The following is a 16,269-nucleotide window of genomic DNA, read 5'->3' as shown; positions in this document are numbered from 1 at the left end:
GGGACAGTGATGTGCTAATAATAGTATATATTTAGCAACTGGGAGTAGAGGAAGAAGCCCTGATTTTCAGCATTTGCCAATTTTCATGGTGTTAAGTACTCCCACTATGGCAGATCTCCGGCCCCTGCATGATGTCATGGAGCACAGAGCTGGGAACGGCATGCACAGTGGGCTCTCATGAGCTGTCATGAGCTGACTCCAGCACACCAGTGAGTGGAAGGGAGAATCAGGTGAAGTGAGCCTCACTGAGGCTGCCTGCTATTATGCAGGCCAGGCACTGCATAACCCTAGAGGGTGCCATTCACATGTTAGTCTAAAGAGAAAGGGATATAACATTTATTGAGTGTCTACAACTTATTTAATCTTGACCACAGTCTTCTGAGGCAAGTTGTATTATCTTAGTTTTCAGAGAAATCCAAGGGTTAGGGAGCTTAATTAACTAAGTCAATGATTTGCAACTAATAAGTGTCAAAGTTGGCATTTAAACCAGGTCTTTCTTACAGTGAAGCTCATTCTAGTTCACCAACTGTGTCAGGGGTGGGGATCTCCAAGACCACCGCCAGGTTTGATGATTTGCTAGCAGGACTTACAGCAGGGGTCCCCAGCCCCTGCACCACGGACTGGTACCGGTTTCGGTGCGTGGCCTGTTAGGAACTGGGCTGCACAGGAGAAGGTGAGCAGCCAGTGAGCAAGCAAGCATTACCCACTGAGCTCTGCCTCCTTTCAGATCAGTGTTGGCATTAGATCCTGATAGGAGCACGAACCCTCTTGTGAACTGCACATGTGAGGGATCTGGGTTTTGTGCTCCTTATGAAAACCTAATGCTTGATGATGTGAAGTGGAATAGTTTCATCCTGAAATGATCCCGCTCACCCCAGGTCCATGGAAAAATTGTCTTCCACAAAACCATTCCCTGGTGCCAAAAAGCGTTGCAGATTGCTGACTTATGGGACTTAGATAATAGCTGTACTCATGACTGTCATTTATTACAGTGAAGAGATAGATGCAAAGCAAAATCAGCGAAAGGAAAAGGCACGTGAAGTCTGGAGGAAACCAGGTGCAAGCTTCCAGAGCTTACAGGAGTCCTCTCCCAGTGGAGTCACATAGGGTGGGCTTAAAACCTCCATCAGTGAGCTGTGACAACAGGTGGGATGTTGCCTACCAGAAAACTCATCACTCAGTGTCCACGGTTTTTAACTGGGAGCTGGTCACTTAGGCCCCTCTGCCTAGCATGTGCCCAAATTCCAGACTCCCAGAAGGCAAGCAGGTGTTCAGCATGAACCATTTTGTTTGTATAAACCGTTAAGACCCCTTGTGGCACTCATCACTGCTAGAAATCATGGGACCCTCCCCAGATTCAAGTTTCCAGATGCCAGTCAAGGGCCAATCTAGAAAGGCAAGTAAGCCTGGCTAAGAATAGCAGTGTCAGGCCTGCTATGTTAACTGTTTTCTGCACATTGACCAAATGCAAATATAGGAAAGCAAATTGAGAAGGAGATCCTGTCTGCTTATCATTGTATCCTCCTTCCCCCAGTGCCTGCACAGGACTTGATATGTGGTGGTTTCTAATAATGGCTCCTTGCGTTGTACAGATTCCCATGGATACTCAGCTCCTCCCTGTGTCTGTGCTGCCTGTAAAGCGAGTGCCTCTGTGCTTGCAAGTTTCTCTGAGTTAGCCCAAAGTGGCTGTTCTTTCAAATTCTGATGAATTATGACTGCTTATTTTAGACATCTCAGTGTAGCTTCATGAACCCCTACTATGAATTCTCAGTAACTTTTCTCTGCTAAAAAGCCTTCATTTGAAATGCTGAGGCCTGCTCTTTGTGTCTCCGGTGGAAATATTGGTTCTTTATTTCCAGAGCCCCAGACACCCTGTCTCAGACTCACTTATACATCAGTGAGCTTTGACTAAAAGTGGAACAGTTTCCTGCACCTGACCCCAGTGTCTGGGTCACATGGGGACCATCATGTTGGGGTTACACCTTCCTTTGCTCTCATGGGCAGGGCTGACTGAATGGTCTGCGCAGTATGCATTTGTGAGAAGCACATTGCAGGGGGCTCTGTGTAGAGGAACAGTTCTGAGAATGAGCAAACTGGTGCTACCATGAGCTGTCTAAACCCCAAGTTTTTGTTTTTGTTTTTTTGAGACAGAGTCTTGCTCTGTCACCCAGGCTGGAGTGCAGTGGTGCAATCTCGGCTCACTGCAACCTCCACCTCCCAGGCTAAAGCGATTCTCATGCCTCAGCCTCCCCAGTAGCTGGGATTACAGGTGCACACCACTGTACCCAGCTAATTTTTTCTATTTTTAGTAAAGACAGGGTTTCACTGTGTTGGCCAGGCTGGTCTCAAACTCCTGGCCTCAAGTGATCCCCCTGCCTCAGCCTCCCAAAGTGTTGAGATTACAGGTGTGAGCCACTGTGCCTGGCCATAAAATCCAAGTTCTTTTTATTCTTAGTTACTGTGACAGACCGAGTTAAAGAAAACAAAAGGAACTCACCTCGCCTTTGTCTGGCTGGTTCCCTCAGTTCTCAAGTGAAGTGAAAATTATTTTCCTGCCTGCAGCTTTGCATAGTTATTTTCCCATTGCTTACTTTAATGTAATGGCCAGCAATGTTCTTTTCTATAGTTAGGAAAAGCAGATTTTCTGAAACCAGAAGCACTAGTTCTGATGTCAGACAGTCAGTGTTCAAATCCTGGGTTCTGTCACTCCCTAGCTTATATGATGCTGGGCAAGTGAGCATAGCCACTTTCTTCCTCAGTTTCCTCATCTGTAAAACAGAGACAATAAATAGTTACTACCTCAAAGGGTTGTTATGGGGATCAATTGAAATGATACAACTACAACATGCACTAAATAAATTTAAAGCAAAACTGGCATATGGTAAGCCTTGAAGAAAAGTTAGTAATATTGCCATTGTTGTTAAGTTTCAGGATATAAAAATCCATTTTTTTTTTCCTTCTGCCACCCAGGCTGGAGTGCAGTGGGGCGATTTTGGCTCACTACAACCTCTGCCTCCTGGATTCAAGCAATTCTCCTGCCTCAGACTCCCAAGTAGCTAGGATTACAGGCATGCATCACCACGCCCAGCTAATTTTTGTATTTTTAGTAGAGACAGGGTTTTGGCTTGTTGGCTAGGCTGGTCTCAAACTCCTGACCTCAAGTGATCTGCTCACCTCAGCCTCCCAAAGTGCTGGGATTACAGGCATGGGCCACTGCACTGGGCCTAAAAATCTATTCTTTTTGGTGGTTCACACTGATTTGAGTAAATAAAATTTCTTACTCTCTACCCCATATGCCTTTACACGTTTATTTATTTAAAAATGAAAAACTGAAGATAATTGTTTGAAAGAAGTTCCAGTGTGGTAGGTGGAAACCTGTCCACCTTAAAATAAGCCACAGTACGGGCGCCTGTAGTCCCAGCTACTCGGGAGGCTGAGGCAGGAGAATGGCGTGAACCCGGGAGGCAGAGCTTGCAGTGAGCCGAGATCCCGCCACTGCACTCCAGCCTGGGCGACAGAGCGAGACTCTGTCTCAAAAAAAAAAAAAAAAAAAAAATAAGCCACAGTACTTTGGAATCTGGCAGCCTGGGGCTTCCCCTGTGACTCTCCCTGCCTTTGTGAGCTGAGGAACCACTGACTGGGCTGTTGGTTCTCTGGGGAGAAAGGGAATGATTTCTCCTCCCCTCCTCTGGCATGGAGATCCCTCCACAGTCTTTCCCCAGCTTGTCTCTCCAGGTGGAGGCTGGAACATGCCTCCTACCTCACCAGACTCATAACATTCTGCTTCCCGTCCCCTTCCTTAGCCTCCTTCTGGCTGTCTGTCATGCTCCTCTGAGAGCCCGTGTCCTTGCTCTTAGAACTCCAGTGAGCAGCTCTCTCTCCCTACTGCTTCGGTAGCCCACGGCCCTTCTTGCTTGTGCAATAAATAATTAGTGTGTATCTCTTCTTGTGAAATCCATGGTTTTCCTGTATCCTTTCTGGCCACTGCTTGTCTCCTTCCAGGGCTGCCCTTTCTCTGCCCGCCTCTCACATGTGCGTGTTCCTCAGGGTTCTTTCGTGGGGTCTCTTTTCTCACTCTGTGCTTGCCTTAGAAGACATCATCCGTTCCAGTGGCTTCAGTTAACTTCTGTGTGCAGATGACTTTCCCAGTCTTTGTTTCCCAGCCTGATATCTATTCTGAGGTCTGAGTTCTCACAGGTATCTCAAATTCAAATGTCTGAAAAGAATCTCAAGATGTCCCCCACCCCTGTAATCTCTAGTTCAGTAATTGGTACCATGGTCTACCCAGTTGCTTGTGCCAGGAACCTGAGAGTCTGTCTCAACTTATCCCTCTCTTCACCCTCTCTTGTCTGGACTCTCAACAGGTTCTATTGGTTCCACCTTCTAAATATATCTCAGTCCTGCTCTTTCTCCTCCCATCTGTGCCACCACCATGATCCAAACCACCATTACCTCTTCTTGGGTGAATACAGCAGCCTCTGTATCAGTTAGGATTGGGTTATGCTATGTACCACACACAATCCCTAAGTAATAGTTTAAACAAGATAAAGTTTCTTCTTTTTCTCAGTGTGGAAAAACCAAACCAAAAACTGGAAGTGGGCTGTCTAGAACTGCTATGGTGGATACAATCCAGGGATCCTGGATCCTGTCTTTCCTCTCCATAGTCCTAGCTTATCTTTTGTTTTTGCCAAAGATGGCTCCAGCCATCTTGTCTGAATTGCAAGCTGGAGGAAGGAAGAAAGACAGAAAAGCAAGAAGGGACATCTCCCACCAGAGTCAGATCCCTTTAGCAGCTTTGCCTTATGTTCCATACAAGACTTCTGCCAATATCTCATTGACCAGAACTTAGCCACATGGCTATACCTAGTAGCAAAGGGAGGCTGAGAAGTGCAGTCTTTTATTCTGAGTACCAAGGTACCACCTAAAAATCAGGGTTCCATTATTAGTGGGAAATGGATGTCATAAGCAGACAGCTAGCAATTTCTGCCGCATCCTAATGGGCTCCTCTTTCCACTCTTGCTCCTCTCCAGTCTGTTGTACCCAATGGCTGAGTGATCTTTTAAAAACACAAATACGATCATGTATCTCTCCTGCCTAAAACCCTACAAGAAATTATTATCCCAATTTTAATCTCAAAAGTCCTCAACATGGCCTATGGGACACTGTGTGGTCCAGCAGCCTGCCAGCCTGTCCACATTGATCTGCAATTCTTTCTCCTCACTCCCCACCCCCCAGCCCACCTGTTTTTCAGTTCCTCGAAGGTACCACCTCCTTCCCATGTTGAAGCATGTACATTACCTATGTCCTTTCTCTAGAACCCGTGTATCCCCTCCCTTGAATGGCTAACTTCTCCCCCTCTTTCAGGTTTCAGCTTAACTATTACTTCCTTGGTATATTTGCTGTGATCTTCCAGATTAGATTAGATTTCCCTGTATAATGTCATTCTGCACTTTTACTTTGTACCACCTATCTCTATTTTATTTTAATACATTATTAATACAATTAGTTTTTCAGTCTCTTTCTCTCATTCTCATTTATAAGCTTCACAAAGCAGGTGAAGGCATCACTTAACCCAGTACTCATCCTCCTTCAGAGGGTTGTTATGGGGATCAGTTGAAATGATACATCTACAACATGCACTAAATAAATTTAAAGCAAAACTGGCATATGGTAAACCTTGAAGAAAAGTTAGTAATATTGCCATGGTTGTTAAGTTTCAAAATATAAAAATCCATTCTTTTTGGCCAGGCATGGTGGCTCATGCCTGTAATCCCAGCACTTTGGGAGGCCGAGGCGGGTGGATCACGAGGTCAGGAGTTCGAGACCACCCTGGCCAGTGTGGTGAAACCTCATTTCTACTAATAAAATACAAAAATTAGACAGGTGTGGTGGTGCGTGCCTGTAGTCCCAGCTACTCGGGACGCTGAGGCAGGAGAATTGCTTGAATCTGGGAGGCGGAGGTTGTAGTGAGCTGAGATCGTGCCTCTGCACTCCAGCCTGGGTAACAGAGTGAGACTTTGTCTCAAAAAAAAAAAAAAAAAAAAAAAAAAAAAGAAAGAAAATCCTTTCTGTAGCCCAGACTGGAGTGCAGTGGTTGTTGAGTGATTGAATGGAATCCAGGTTCAAGGAAAATATGATAGATTTGTTTTGTGTCATGTGAAAGAGATGTAAATGAAAGAGATAAGGAGAGATGTTTGCCTGGGTAGTTTAGAGATACAGATTTAAGACGCAAGTGAGAAGTTGGGGTTAGAGAAGTAAATTTGGAATCATTGGATCTGGTTCATTTAATGCTGTTTATCCTAAAAGGAGGTGGCTTCCTGAGAGGACATGCTGTGGGCTTTGAAGCCAGGCAGATCTGCTCTGAATCTGGATCTGTCATTACCAGCTATGAAATTGGGCAGTTGATGAAACTTTCTAAGTCTCAGTTTCTTCACCTGTAAAAGGAGAAAATACCTGCCCTGCCAGGCCATTTGTATTTAAGCCTCTGGCCGATAGAATATTAGAAACCTTTCTGTCCATTGGCTTCAAAGATGCTTTAAGAATGAAAACATTTCTACCTTAAAAACAGAGACAATGGAAAACATTACTTTCTTTATCATCTCCTTGGTACCTTTGAATATACATTTTGCACAGTGAAAATCAAGACTGGCTTCTGGGATTAGAAACAGAAGGGCTCTGTGGCCTTTTTTAGTTTAGTTTTTTCTTTTTTCTTAAATTTAAATATACTTCTATTGTGTGAAGGAGAGAAAAAAATATATTTTTTCCCCTTGCCTATCTTAGTTTTTCCAGCTGGGGCCTTTTAAATTAGACCACCAAAAGAGAGATTAACAGGAGAAAAGCATAGAATTTTTATTTAGTAATTTTTACATGTACGTGGGAGCCTTCACCAGGAAAATAAAGACCCAGGGAAGTTGTAAGGGTTGAAAGCTTATATATTATGTTGGACAAAGAGTAGTAAATTGGTAAATTGTAAAGATATGACAGGGAAAAGGAGTTGGGGCTATTTTGAGAGCTTCTAGCTAATGGGATTCCAGTACCAGGTTGGCTAGCAACCCTGTCCTGATGGGAAATGCAGGGTAGCTGGACATGAATGTCTACAGTGTCCCTTTCCTGGGGTACTTCTTTAGCCTGGAGGATGGTTTTATGCCTAGTTAGCCCACCTGGAACCTGGGGACTCCCTCACATGGGGAACTTGTTTATCTTATTTATCTGGCAGCCACTGTTGTGGCTCTTGTCTGACCCATGTCCAGCTTACACCTGCCTGACCATCGCCCTGGCGCCGGGAGCCTGACTTGATATTCCCCCCAGGATCCCTGGGAAAGCATGGCCTGAGGCAGCTGCAGCCACTGGTTCTTCAGATGAAAAGTGGAAACTCAATACATCACCAGGTAGGAAATGAGTTCAGAGATTTTTACTTACAGATCTTGGACAGGAAGGGCGGAATGGGCTGGGAGGGCAGTCCTCCATCTCCGGGTTGCATGAGGCAGGAATGGAGTCAGGCAGAGAGAGAAAATGCATGTGGGAATTGGCAGTATATATAAGGGGTAGGGTGTGGGGTCACTTTGAGTTCCTGGGCAAAGGCCTAAATGGTGCTTTTAAGGGAAGCTTCGATAAAGTGGGGAACCCTGTCTGCTAGATAGGAGAGATGCCTTTAAATTCTTATCTCTGGCTGCTGGCCTGAGCCATTTGGGTGTGGTGTGGAACTAGAACTATCAAGGGTGACTGAGCCCTGCTTTGGGTATGAAAAAGTTGAATCTATTCAAAATGGATGCTGAGGCAACATGAAAGTATAAGAATTCACTTCAGGACTAGGACAGTTAATTGTGGAAAAGTAGCAAGATAAGGACTAGTATAACAAGGTTTGTACAGCTTTCCCTCAGCCTCAGCTCCCCATCTCTGGTGATAAGAATGAATGTCTTTCGTCCTCCTGGTATAAGGAGGGCACCTTTTTCATGGGAGTTAATCTCATGCTTTCAAGAAGAACAAGGAAGGTCACAGTGCCCTTCTTGCATGTGCTGTTTTTTTTAAGTGCCTTTAACTCAATCCATATGCCGAAGTAGCATATTTTTGGGTGCTTACCATGTGCCAAACATGGTCTTATATGCTTTTTAAGTATTAACTTTAATCCTGTGAACTGTTTGAGGCAGATACAGTTACTATTCCCATTTTACAGATGATGAAACTAAAGAACAGAGAGGTTGAGTACTTTGCCCAAGGTTGCAGAGTGAGCATGTGGCAGAGCTGGGACCCCAGCCCATGCAGCCTGATTCCCAGAGCTCTGAACCATTGTACTGCACTGCCTCTGGATAGCTTTGTGATATTTTTTGGGCTACCAAATTGTGTGTTTATAGAAGGATCAAACATATATTAATCTTTATATTCACCGGAATATGACTTAGCCGTCAAGACAGCCTGACAAACCGGCAAAATATGTCTTTGTAACATTACTCTTGTGCTTTGAAGAGGAATTTTTGACCAAAGATGCTCCCTGCTATCGTGTGTTAAATGCTGTGAGTTACCAGAGATCAATTGTTCCTAACGTAAAAAGGAAGTGCTAATCTAGTCACTGGCTGGCTCAGTATTGGTTTCATACTGTAAGATAGAACTAAAATAACAGCCTCGAAGGGTAAAAATAGTGGAGTCACATGAAGCATCAACCGTCATTTTAAAAACAGAATTGTAAGACCCATGAGGAAAGGTTAATTTCTTTTTCTGTTTGAAAAGAGTGGATGTTGGTAGACACTGGTCGTTTCTATTACGGCCTCCTGTAATTTTAGAAAACCGATATTTGTCATGACCTGAGGAAACATCTCATTCATGGCTTTTATAAGACATAGTCAAATTCAGCATCAACTCTCAGAAGATCTTTCTTGGAGTCTAGAAGGTAGGTGTGAGGATCGTTTCTTAATCAAAACTAGTGGCTCTCGCTTTTAGGTTTCCTAAGGGCTAGTATGCTTTTCAAAAATAATATTAGTAGCTAAATTGATCAAGCACTTAAACTGTTTGTCAGCGTTCTTCCAAAAGCTTTACATGAATTGACTCTTCGAATTCTTACTGCAATCATATGAAGTTCTGGTGCTATTATTCATCCCATTTAATAGCTAATGAAGTGTAGGCACAGAGAGGTTAAGTAACTTGTTCAAGGAGATACAGTGAGTAAGTAGCAGAGCTGAGATTCAAACTCAGACAGTTGGGCTTCAGACTTTTTGCTTTTAAGCAGTAAGCTCTATTATAGAGGCCTGCTGGTTCTTAGCCCAGGGAGATCTAAGACGTGTAAACCAGAATGCCTGCCCACACTGAGTAGGGATCTTCCCCACTCAGTCTACTAACTTGCATGCCAGTCTCCTCTGGAAACACCATCACAGACACAATCAGAAGGAAAGCTTTACCAGCTCTCTAGGCAGTCCTTCTTCCAGTCAAGTTGATACCTAAAGTTAACCATCACACCTTCCAAGACTGGTTGCTGCATAGGTGCTATAATGTGGTATCTCTGTACCACCAGAAGGGAGGTGAGGCGGGGGTAAGGAAGAGAAAAGCAGACAGATAAAGCTTCTGTTGCAGGTGCTGGTGGGCACTCAGTGAGTGGCGTGGCTATTGGACAGTGGGGATTCTGTATTTTGCACTGTGGGGGCATCTCTCAGAATGGCCAGATATTCTGCAACAGGGATGAATGAGAGTTAGTTTCACTAGAGCAATTGAGAGTTAGTTGCATTAGCAAGAGCAAACTAAGAGGGAACAAATAGTTTAATTATGGCTCCTAGCTGTGATAGCCAGCAAAGAGTACAACATTGCAGCCTAGATTTCTGTATCTTACTCATTTGCCCTTGATCAATTTGTTTAACTCAGTGCCCCATTTACCCAACAGTAAATTGCAGATGCTAAATGACTCATTACTTTGGCAGAGTCACTGGTTCTGTAATTAATTATGGAGCACTTTAAGATTGATGAATGCAAGGAGCTGTGCACACACGACCTGTACGAGCAGTTGTATAAACATCGGGATTGTTGTTGTTTCTAAGGCTTGCTTCCTGTTCTGAGCCCAGTGTGCACTTTACCACAAAGGACAGCAAAAGCTTTATTAGTAGCAATTAAGAAATGTGCCATCTCTGCTTTTACTGGTTTATGATGGGCTCTTTTTCTATTCTCAAAAAAAAAGTTTGTAAGTAGATTCAGTTACAACTTTGATCAGGCTTTAAAAAATATTTGAGAAGTGTTTTTTAACCTTTTATCATAGAATATTTACAACTTACTGAACAGTAGACAGAATAGTACAGTGAACCCCGTGTACCCATTACCCAACCAAGTAACCCTAGTCACACTTCCTCCCACCTCATTATCTATAACAAATCCCTTCTACTCCCATTGTCTTGCAGAAACCACATCATTTCTTCTACAGATGGTTCAGTATTCATCTGCAGAAGTCAGGGAGCCCCCAGCTTAAGCAGAATCTTAGTGCCATCACCACACTCTTAAATATCAACAGAACTTCCTTAATATCATCAAGCACTCAGTCAGTGGAAGAAATTGTTTTAAAAATAATTTTATCTACAGAATGTTCACAGTTGATGGGTTGTATTACAAAAGTTTGCTGTAAGTTGGTTATTTGCAACACCAGTTGAATGAATATTCCTGTAGAAACTGTAGTAAAAGCAGTGATTGGCCCGCATTAAACCCACAAAAACCCATGGAATACATAATGAAGCAATTCTGTGTATTTCTCTTTGAGTATTTTACTGAGGGGAGAGTTGATGGGCAATTCACCGTCTGCTACTAGAGACCTGGCTCCAAAATACATTTTCTCTTTCTTGTGGGTGTTATTATGGTGATTCCTTCTCCCTGTGCCCACTTCCTCACTCCCCCCAACTCTCATCATCTACTCATCAAACTTCCCATTAGAGAAGCGAGAGGAAGAAACTTTACCTGGTATGGCTGACTGTATTCATTGAAAACAAGGAGGGAATGTTTCTCTTTTAGGGGGTAGCAAAGGGTATAGGAAAGCTGCCATTATATGCAGTTTAGTATTTTAAAGACGTCTAGAAAACAAACTGCAATGTGATCTCTTTAACATTGAAGAGAACTAGAGAGATATATAGGGCTAAGTAGCAGCTGATTTAAAGACCAGGTTAATGTTCTGCTTTCGCAGTTCCCTAGCAAAGCTCAGTTCAGTTTTAAGTAATTTATATTTCCAGTCCATAATTGTGTGCATGCCTCTGTGCCCTCCACTAACATCAGATAAGCAGGGAGTGGGGCTCTTCTTTGTAGAAGAACTGGCTAGATATAGGCAGGGTAGAGGCAAAGTTTCCAAGAGGCTGTGAGCCTTTCGATGCACCTTTCCAGAAATCCAGCCCCAGGGGAAGGCTTTAGGAGAATTGCCACAGGGTTTCCCACCCTCAGGGCTGTCATTGCTCTGGGTTATCACTTCATCAATCCATTGGTCATGGTTGGGATACCAGGAGGTGGGGTGGGAATGGTGTTCCCCCTTGGGCTGCAGTGGTAGGTTTTGTTCCACAGATTTGGCCATTGCGTATTTGGATTACTTGCTGCCCCTGCCACCCACCATCTATCCCAGAAATTGCATTTTCTGTCTTGCCCTATTTGCCATCTGTAACTCTCACCCACCAGAAACTTACAAAGCTTATCTCTCCCAAGTTCCTCTTGATAAGAAATCATGTTTATGTGATTCTAGTTATTTCCACTTTCATAAAGATATAAAGTATCATTAAAAAAAAAACCCTAACACATGAAGTGCTTACTGGACAGCCTCAGAACACACACGCAGTCCTACTAGAGAAACAAAGTGCTACTAGTCAGTATTAACCATAGAAACCTAAGAACTGAAACCTAGGCTAAAGGGCCTTCCTTCTTTTTTGTTGCTAAGAAAAATAAAACAAAACAAAAACAAACAAAAAAACAGGCCAAAAGATGCTCACTAACATATCCAATGATAACCATCTCTCCCTTGACAGTAGTTACGTTTATCTCTGAAGATTGTAATGGGACAGTTACTCTGTCACTTGGGTATTACTATGTGCAGCAGTACACTTTGATGGAATAGAGAGGAGAGGAAGCAGAGTCTGGGATTATTTCCAGGAAGCAGGTCCTGGAGATTCCTGGCTTGCCTGTGCCCACCTGGTGTGGTATAGGTCTGAGAGAACTGCAGCAGAAGAAAGAAAAAAGATAGAAGATAAAAAATATGAGCAAAAACTCTTCTCGAAAACGGCGTAGTTAAGAAAAAGTGGTGGTGCTGGTTATGCTCTTCAGGAGGCTGAGGTGGGAGGATCGCTTGATCCCAGGAGTTCAGTCTGGGCAATGTAGCAAGAACCCTATCTCTTAAAAAAAAAAAAAATCAGAAAAAAAGGAAAAGAAAAAGTGGTGGCTACAACTGGATATTGTGAAATTAGACCTGAGAAAAGTCTAACTGCTCAGCAATTCCACTTAGTTGAGTCCTCTCCTATTTATTTATTCATTCATTCATTGACTTATTCAACAAAGTTATTGGGCACCTGCTAGGTGCCAGGTTGCCAGGTGCCAGGCTCTGCTGCAGGTGCTGGAGAGGGAGTAGCTGTGCCTTTGCTGAGCTTCCAGTTGGTGACCTTTATTAGACCTGCCTTGAAGAAGGGGTGATAAAGAGAAGGCTAGGACCAAGCAGCAGCCTTGGTAGGAGGTGTTGAATTTATTTTATTTATTACTCATTTTCATTTAAGACTGAGTGAATCAAATGGATGGGTGAGTTCTTTCTAAGTTGGAATAAATACTAGGGCAGAGCCTTCATTTAAATGAGAGCTGATCAATTACCTACTTCTGGCCCATTATAAACCAGAGTTATTTTGCTTAATCTTTCTACTCATTTTTTTTTCTTTTACCATTGTTGTTATTGCAGTTTTAAGCTTATGATTTAGAACATTAAATTATTACCAAAGAATTTTATAGTTTCCAAGTATCCCCAGACTTCAGGGTTTCCGAGAGCAGGGGCCATATTTTTTTCAGCATTATACAGGTATGCTCCAATGACTGCACGTATTTAAATTGCATTATTTGATGAGTTTTCACATTAGGTATACATCCATGAAACCGTCACTACAACAACTGAAACACTGAGTATGCCCATAACCCCTAAAAGTTTTCTCATGCCACTTTATCTTCATACCTCCCTCTTCATGCCCACCATCCCTAGGTAATCGCTGATCTAATTTTTGACATGATAGATTAGTTTGCATGTTCTAGAATTCTAGAATAAACAAACTTATATAGCAGGTACTCTTTTTTAGACTAGCTTCTATCACCCAGCATATTATTTTGACATATATTAATTTGGTTATAACAATATTGCATTTCTATTACTGTGAAGTACTCCATTGTATGGCTATACCACAATTTGTTTCCCCTGTTGATGGATGTTTGGGTTGTTTCCAGTTTTGGGCTATTATAAATAAAGCCACTATGAAAGTTTTTGTGTTAGTCTTTGTGTGGACATATGCTTCCATGCCTTTTGTGCTTAGTGCATTATCTAGCATGTAGTATATACTGAGCAAATATTGTCCTGAGTGGTTGTTAGACTTCACCTGCATATCTTTTATGGTCTTAGTCTGTCACCCAGGCTGGAGTGCAGTAGTGCCATCATAGCTCACTGCAGCCTTGAACTGAGTTCAAGCAATCCTCCTGCCTCAACCTCCCGAGTAGCTGGGACTGCAGGTGCACACCACCACACCTGGGTAATTTTTAAATTTTTTTTGTAGAAACAGAGTCTTGCTATGTTGCCCAAGGTGGTCAACATAGCAAGTGTTATGTTGCTGGGATTACAGGCATGAGCCACTGTGCCCTGCATTGCCTACATTTCCATGGTAATTGATAAATAAGACCAAATTACTTTTAAAAATAGTTATTTAAAATATTATTCTGTTTTAAGAGAAAGAATGGTTCTGCTATTATCCTATTTCCCTAGTTTGTTCTGTGATATTTTATGCATTATAGTCAAACTTAACTGTCTACTCCTATATTTATTGAGTTCCTGGAATATTTACTGAATTCATCCTTAAGGAGAAAGTGAAAAACTATTGGTATGTTACCTAATGAAACAATGTAAATGCCAGTGAAATATTTAAAAGATCTGTATTAAATATTTTTTTATTGAACTGTATAAGAAAATTAGAGAGTATATAATATTAAAAGTTAAGGCTGTTTATATGGGAAAAAAGTTTAAAGGCTGAAAAATTGTATAAATCTTATATTTAAAGGCAAAAACAAACCAAATAACTGACAGTAAGTGATTGTGAGGGTCCAGATAAATTATGCTATGTGCCTGTGAGCATCTCACAATTAATCCTGAAAATAATCTAGGAGATAGGTTATGTTAATCTAATAATTTTAAGATCCCCATTTACAGATAAGGAAATAGAGACTAGAAGAGGTTATTTAATTTGCATGGGGCCACAGAGCTGGCATTTAAGCACAGCTTGCTGGTCACTGAAGCCTGGGTGCTCAATCATTATGTCATATTGACTCTGCTGTGTTAAAACATTGAGACAATACTGAAAATATTGTGGCATGTTCAATAAATTTTTTAAAAAGTCCCCTAGCAGCATAGTCAATTGCTGTGTATATTATTCACATACATGTCTCTGAAAGTCAGTCAACTTTACAAGTTCTTCATCAGTTTTAAACTTTCCTAATAACTTCTGATTTTATATTTAGGGTAACATTTTTGTAGTTTTCCCATCATTTACATTTGCCAGCCTGTTTCTAGTCACTTCTTATTAGTCTCAGGAGACAGCAATATCCAGTCTTTTTTCCTTTAACAATCAAATCACCATTGTCTCTTGCACTTGAGGCTCTTTGGCACTCTGGATCCAGTTGTGATCCACAGATAATGCTCTATGATTATCTTTCTATTTCTTGCCTCAAATTTTAAATAACTTTGGGAACTTTGATTCGTCTTGCTAGGGCGTCAAAATGCTGTCCATGACTTATTTCCTACCTCGATTATAAATGCTTTGTAGGTAGGAAATCTATCCCATATTTCTTTGGTTCTTGCTAAAGAGGTTTCTGACATCACATTGGTCTGAAATCCTGGAGTCAGAGAAATTTGCCTCTCAGTAAAATTCCAAGTGAACCTGGGAAGATCATTTTAGCAGACACATGGAGAGTAAGAGGGTTTTGCTAATGTGTAATGATAAATTGAAATTTGTTGTAGAGAGTGCCTCTGTGGGCTTCTGTTTCTTTAGAAATTGGCTCCATGAAGGCTTAAACTTTAGGTGTGGCAGTTAGTAGAGTTAATTTAGGTTTTTAAATGGGAAAATTCATAGTTATAATCTGATAAATACTCACCTGGCATTTCAGACAGTATTGAACAAGTCTCCAGTCAGCATACATACTCACTAGAATTGCAGGAAAAGTACTTAAGACAAATGAAGTATTTACATGTTATTGCTTTCAAATCTAAATATTAATGTTTGTGGTGGTAGTTAGCACCCTACTTCCCATGATGCTTAGCTCCGAGTGCTAAACAGATGGTAGATATTTCATATACTAGATATGGCCAGGGACTGTTGTCCCTCACAGATCTGCAAAGTGGGAGTCCTTTCTGTTGCTGTCACCTAGTGTCAGTTTCCCACAGGTGTTTTTGCTCTTGCTATTTTTGGAGAGGTAACATGGTATAGTGGTCATTGGAAGGCTTAAACAAGTTGATATGCGTAAACCATAGGACAGCACCAGGCACACAGTGCTATTATAAATCTTACCTATTATTCTTTATTATTTGAATATGGGTTAAATCAGATACTATGATTTAGTATATTTCCATTCACCACATGGAATCTGATCATTTTGCATCTTTGCTGCCAGATTCAGATCCCAAATGCCAACACTGAGTTTCACGTAAATTCTTATTTCCTAGTGAGACATTTCCCCATGCACCATTCTAGGCTGAAAATGTGTCCAGGTGGGAGATCTATCTCCAGAAGCCAAATGTTGCCATAAAAATCCATTGTCTATTTCTGCATTTTCTGTATCTTTTCAGTAAAATGTATTGAAACCTCGGGGGTGGGAATAAGTAGGCATTTTGGATTTGTCTGGAAATGCTTACGTCTCAGGAGAGGTGGCTGAGAGTTAGTGTGTGTAACCTTTATGGGGTTTTACCTGAACATATCCCTGTAGATTGAATCTTGTTATGTGTAAGTCAGTGTTCTCAGGGTGCTCTTCACACATGTGTTGGGAGCGTGTTAGGCAGGCCTGGTGGTCAAGGAATACAGGTACAAAATAACAAATGTCAAG

The 16,269-nt window shown here is 41.9% G+C and overlaps 1 protein-coding gene across 6 annotated transcripts in view, besides 6 other annotated features; it reads left to right on the top strand.

Annotated features, from left to right (window-relative positions):
• TEC (tec protein tyrosine kinase) overlaps positions 1 to 16,269 on the top strand; it is a 134,056-nt gene that overhangs the window by 64,330 nt on the left and 53,457 nt on the right. The window contains exon 2 of one of the 6 annotated variants that reach the window (XM_011513737.3): positions 7,251 to 7,388. The exons of the other annotated variants lie outside the window; for them this stretch is intronic. Within the exon in view, the coding sequence (XP_011512039.1) occupies positions 7,359 to 7,388 (30 nt within the window). The 5' untranslated portion in view covers positions 7,251 to 7,358. The remainder of the gene's footprint in view (positions 1 to 7,250; positions 7,389 to 16,269) is intronic. 6 annotated transcript variants of the gene reach the window in all.
• Positions 110 to 159: an enhancer, noted in NCBI's record as "active region_21543". NCBI's record gives its function as "activates an Ori minimal core promoter by ATAC-STARR-seq in GM12878 lymphoblastoid cells {active_cell/tissue: GM12878}" and the evidence as "EXISTENCE:reporter gene assay evidence [ECO:0000049][PMID:35858748]".
• Positions 1,749 to 1,858: an enhancer, noted in NCBI's record as "active region_21542". NCBI's record gives its function as "activates an Ori minimal core promoter by ATAC-STARR-seq in GM12878 lymphoblastoid cells {active_cell/tissue: GM12878}" and the evidence as "EXISTENCE:reporter gene assay evidence [ECO:0000049][PMID:35858748]".
• Positions 2,069 to 2,338: an enhancer, noted in NCBI's record as "active region_21541". NCBI's record gives its function as "activates an Ori minimal core promoter by ATAC-STARR-seq in GM12878 lymphoblastoid cells {active_cell/tissue: GM12878}" and the evidence as "EXISTENCE:reporter gene assay evidence [ECO:0000049][PMID:35858748]".
• Positions 7,577 to 7,746: an enhancer, noted in NCBI's record as "active region_21540". NCBI's record gives its function as "activates an Ori minimal core promoter by ATAC-STARR-seq in GM12878 lymphoblastoid cells {active_cell/tissue: GM12878}" and the evidence as "EXISTENCE:reporter gene assay evidence [ECO:0000049][PMID:35858748]".
• Positions 9,306 to 9,355: an enhancer, noted in NCBI's record as "active region_21539". NCBI's record gives its function as "activates an Ori minimal core promoter by ATAC-STARR-seq in GM12878 lymphoblastoid cells {active_cell/tissue: GM12878}" and the evidence as "EXISTENCE:reporter gene assay evidence [ECO:0000049][PMID:35858748]".
• Positions 9,376 to 9,425: an enhancer, noted in NCBI's record as "active region_21538". NCBI's record gives its function as "activates an Ori minimal core promoter by ATAC-STARR-seq in GM12878 lymphoblastoid cells {active_cell/tissue: GM12878}" and the evidence as "EXISTENCE:reporter gene assay evidence [ECO:0000049][PMID:35858748]".

Source organism: Homo sapiens, chromosome 4 (assembly GCF_000001405.40).
Source record: "Homo sapiens chromosome 4, GRCh38.p14 Primary Assembly".
NCBI classification, from domain to species: domain Eukaryota; kingdom Metazoa; phylum Chordata; class Mammalia; order Primates; family Hominidae; genus Homo; species Homo sapiens.
The sequence above is the reverse complement of the archived record's forward strand: the minus strand, read 5'-3'. Positions and strand labels throughout refer to the sequence as shown.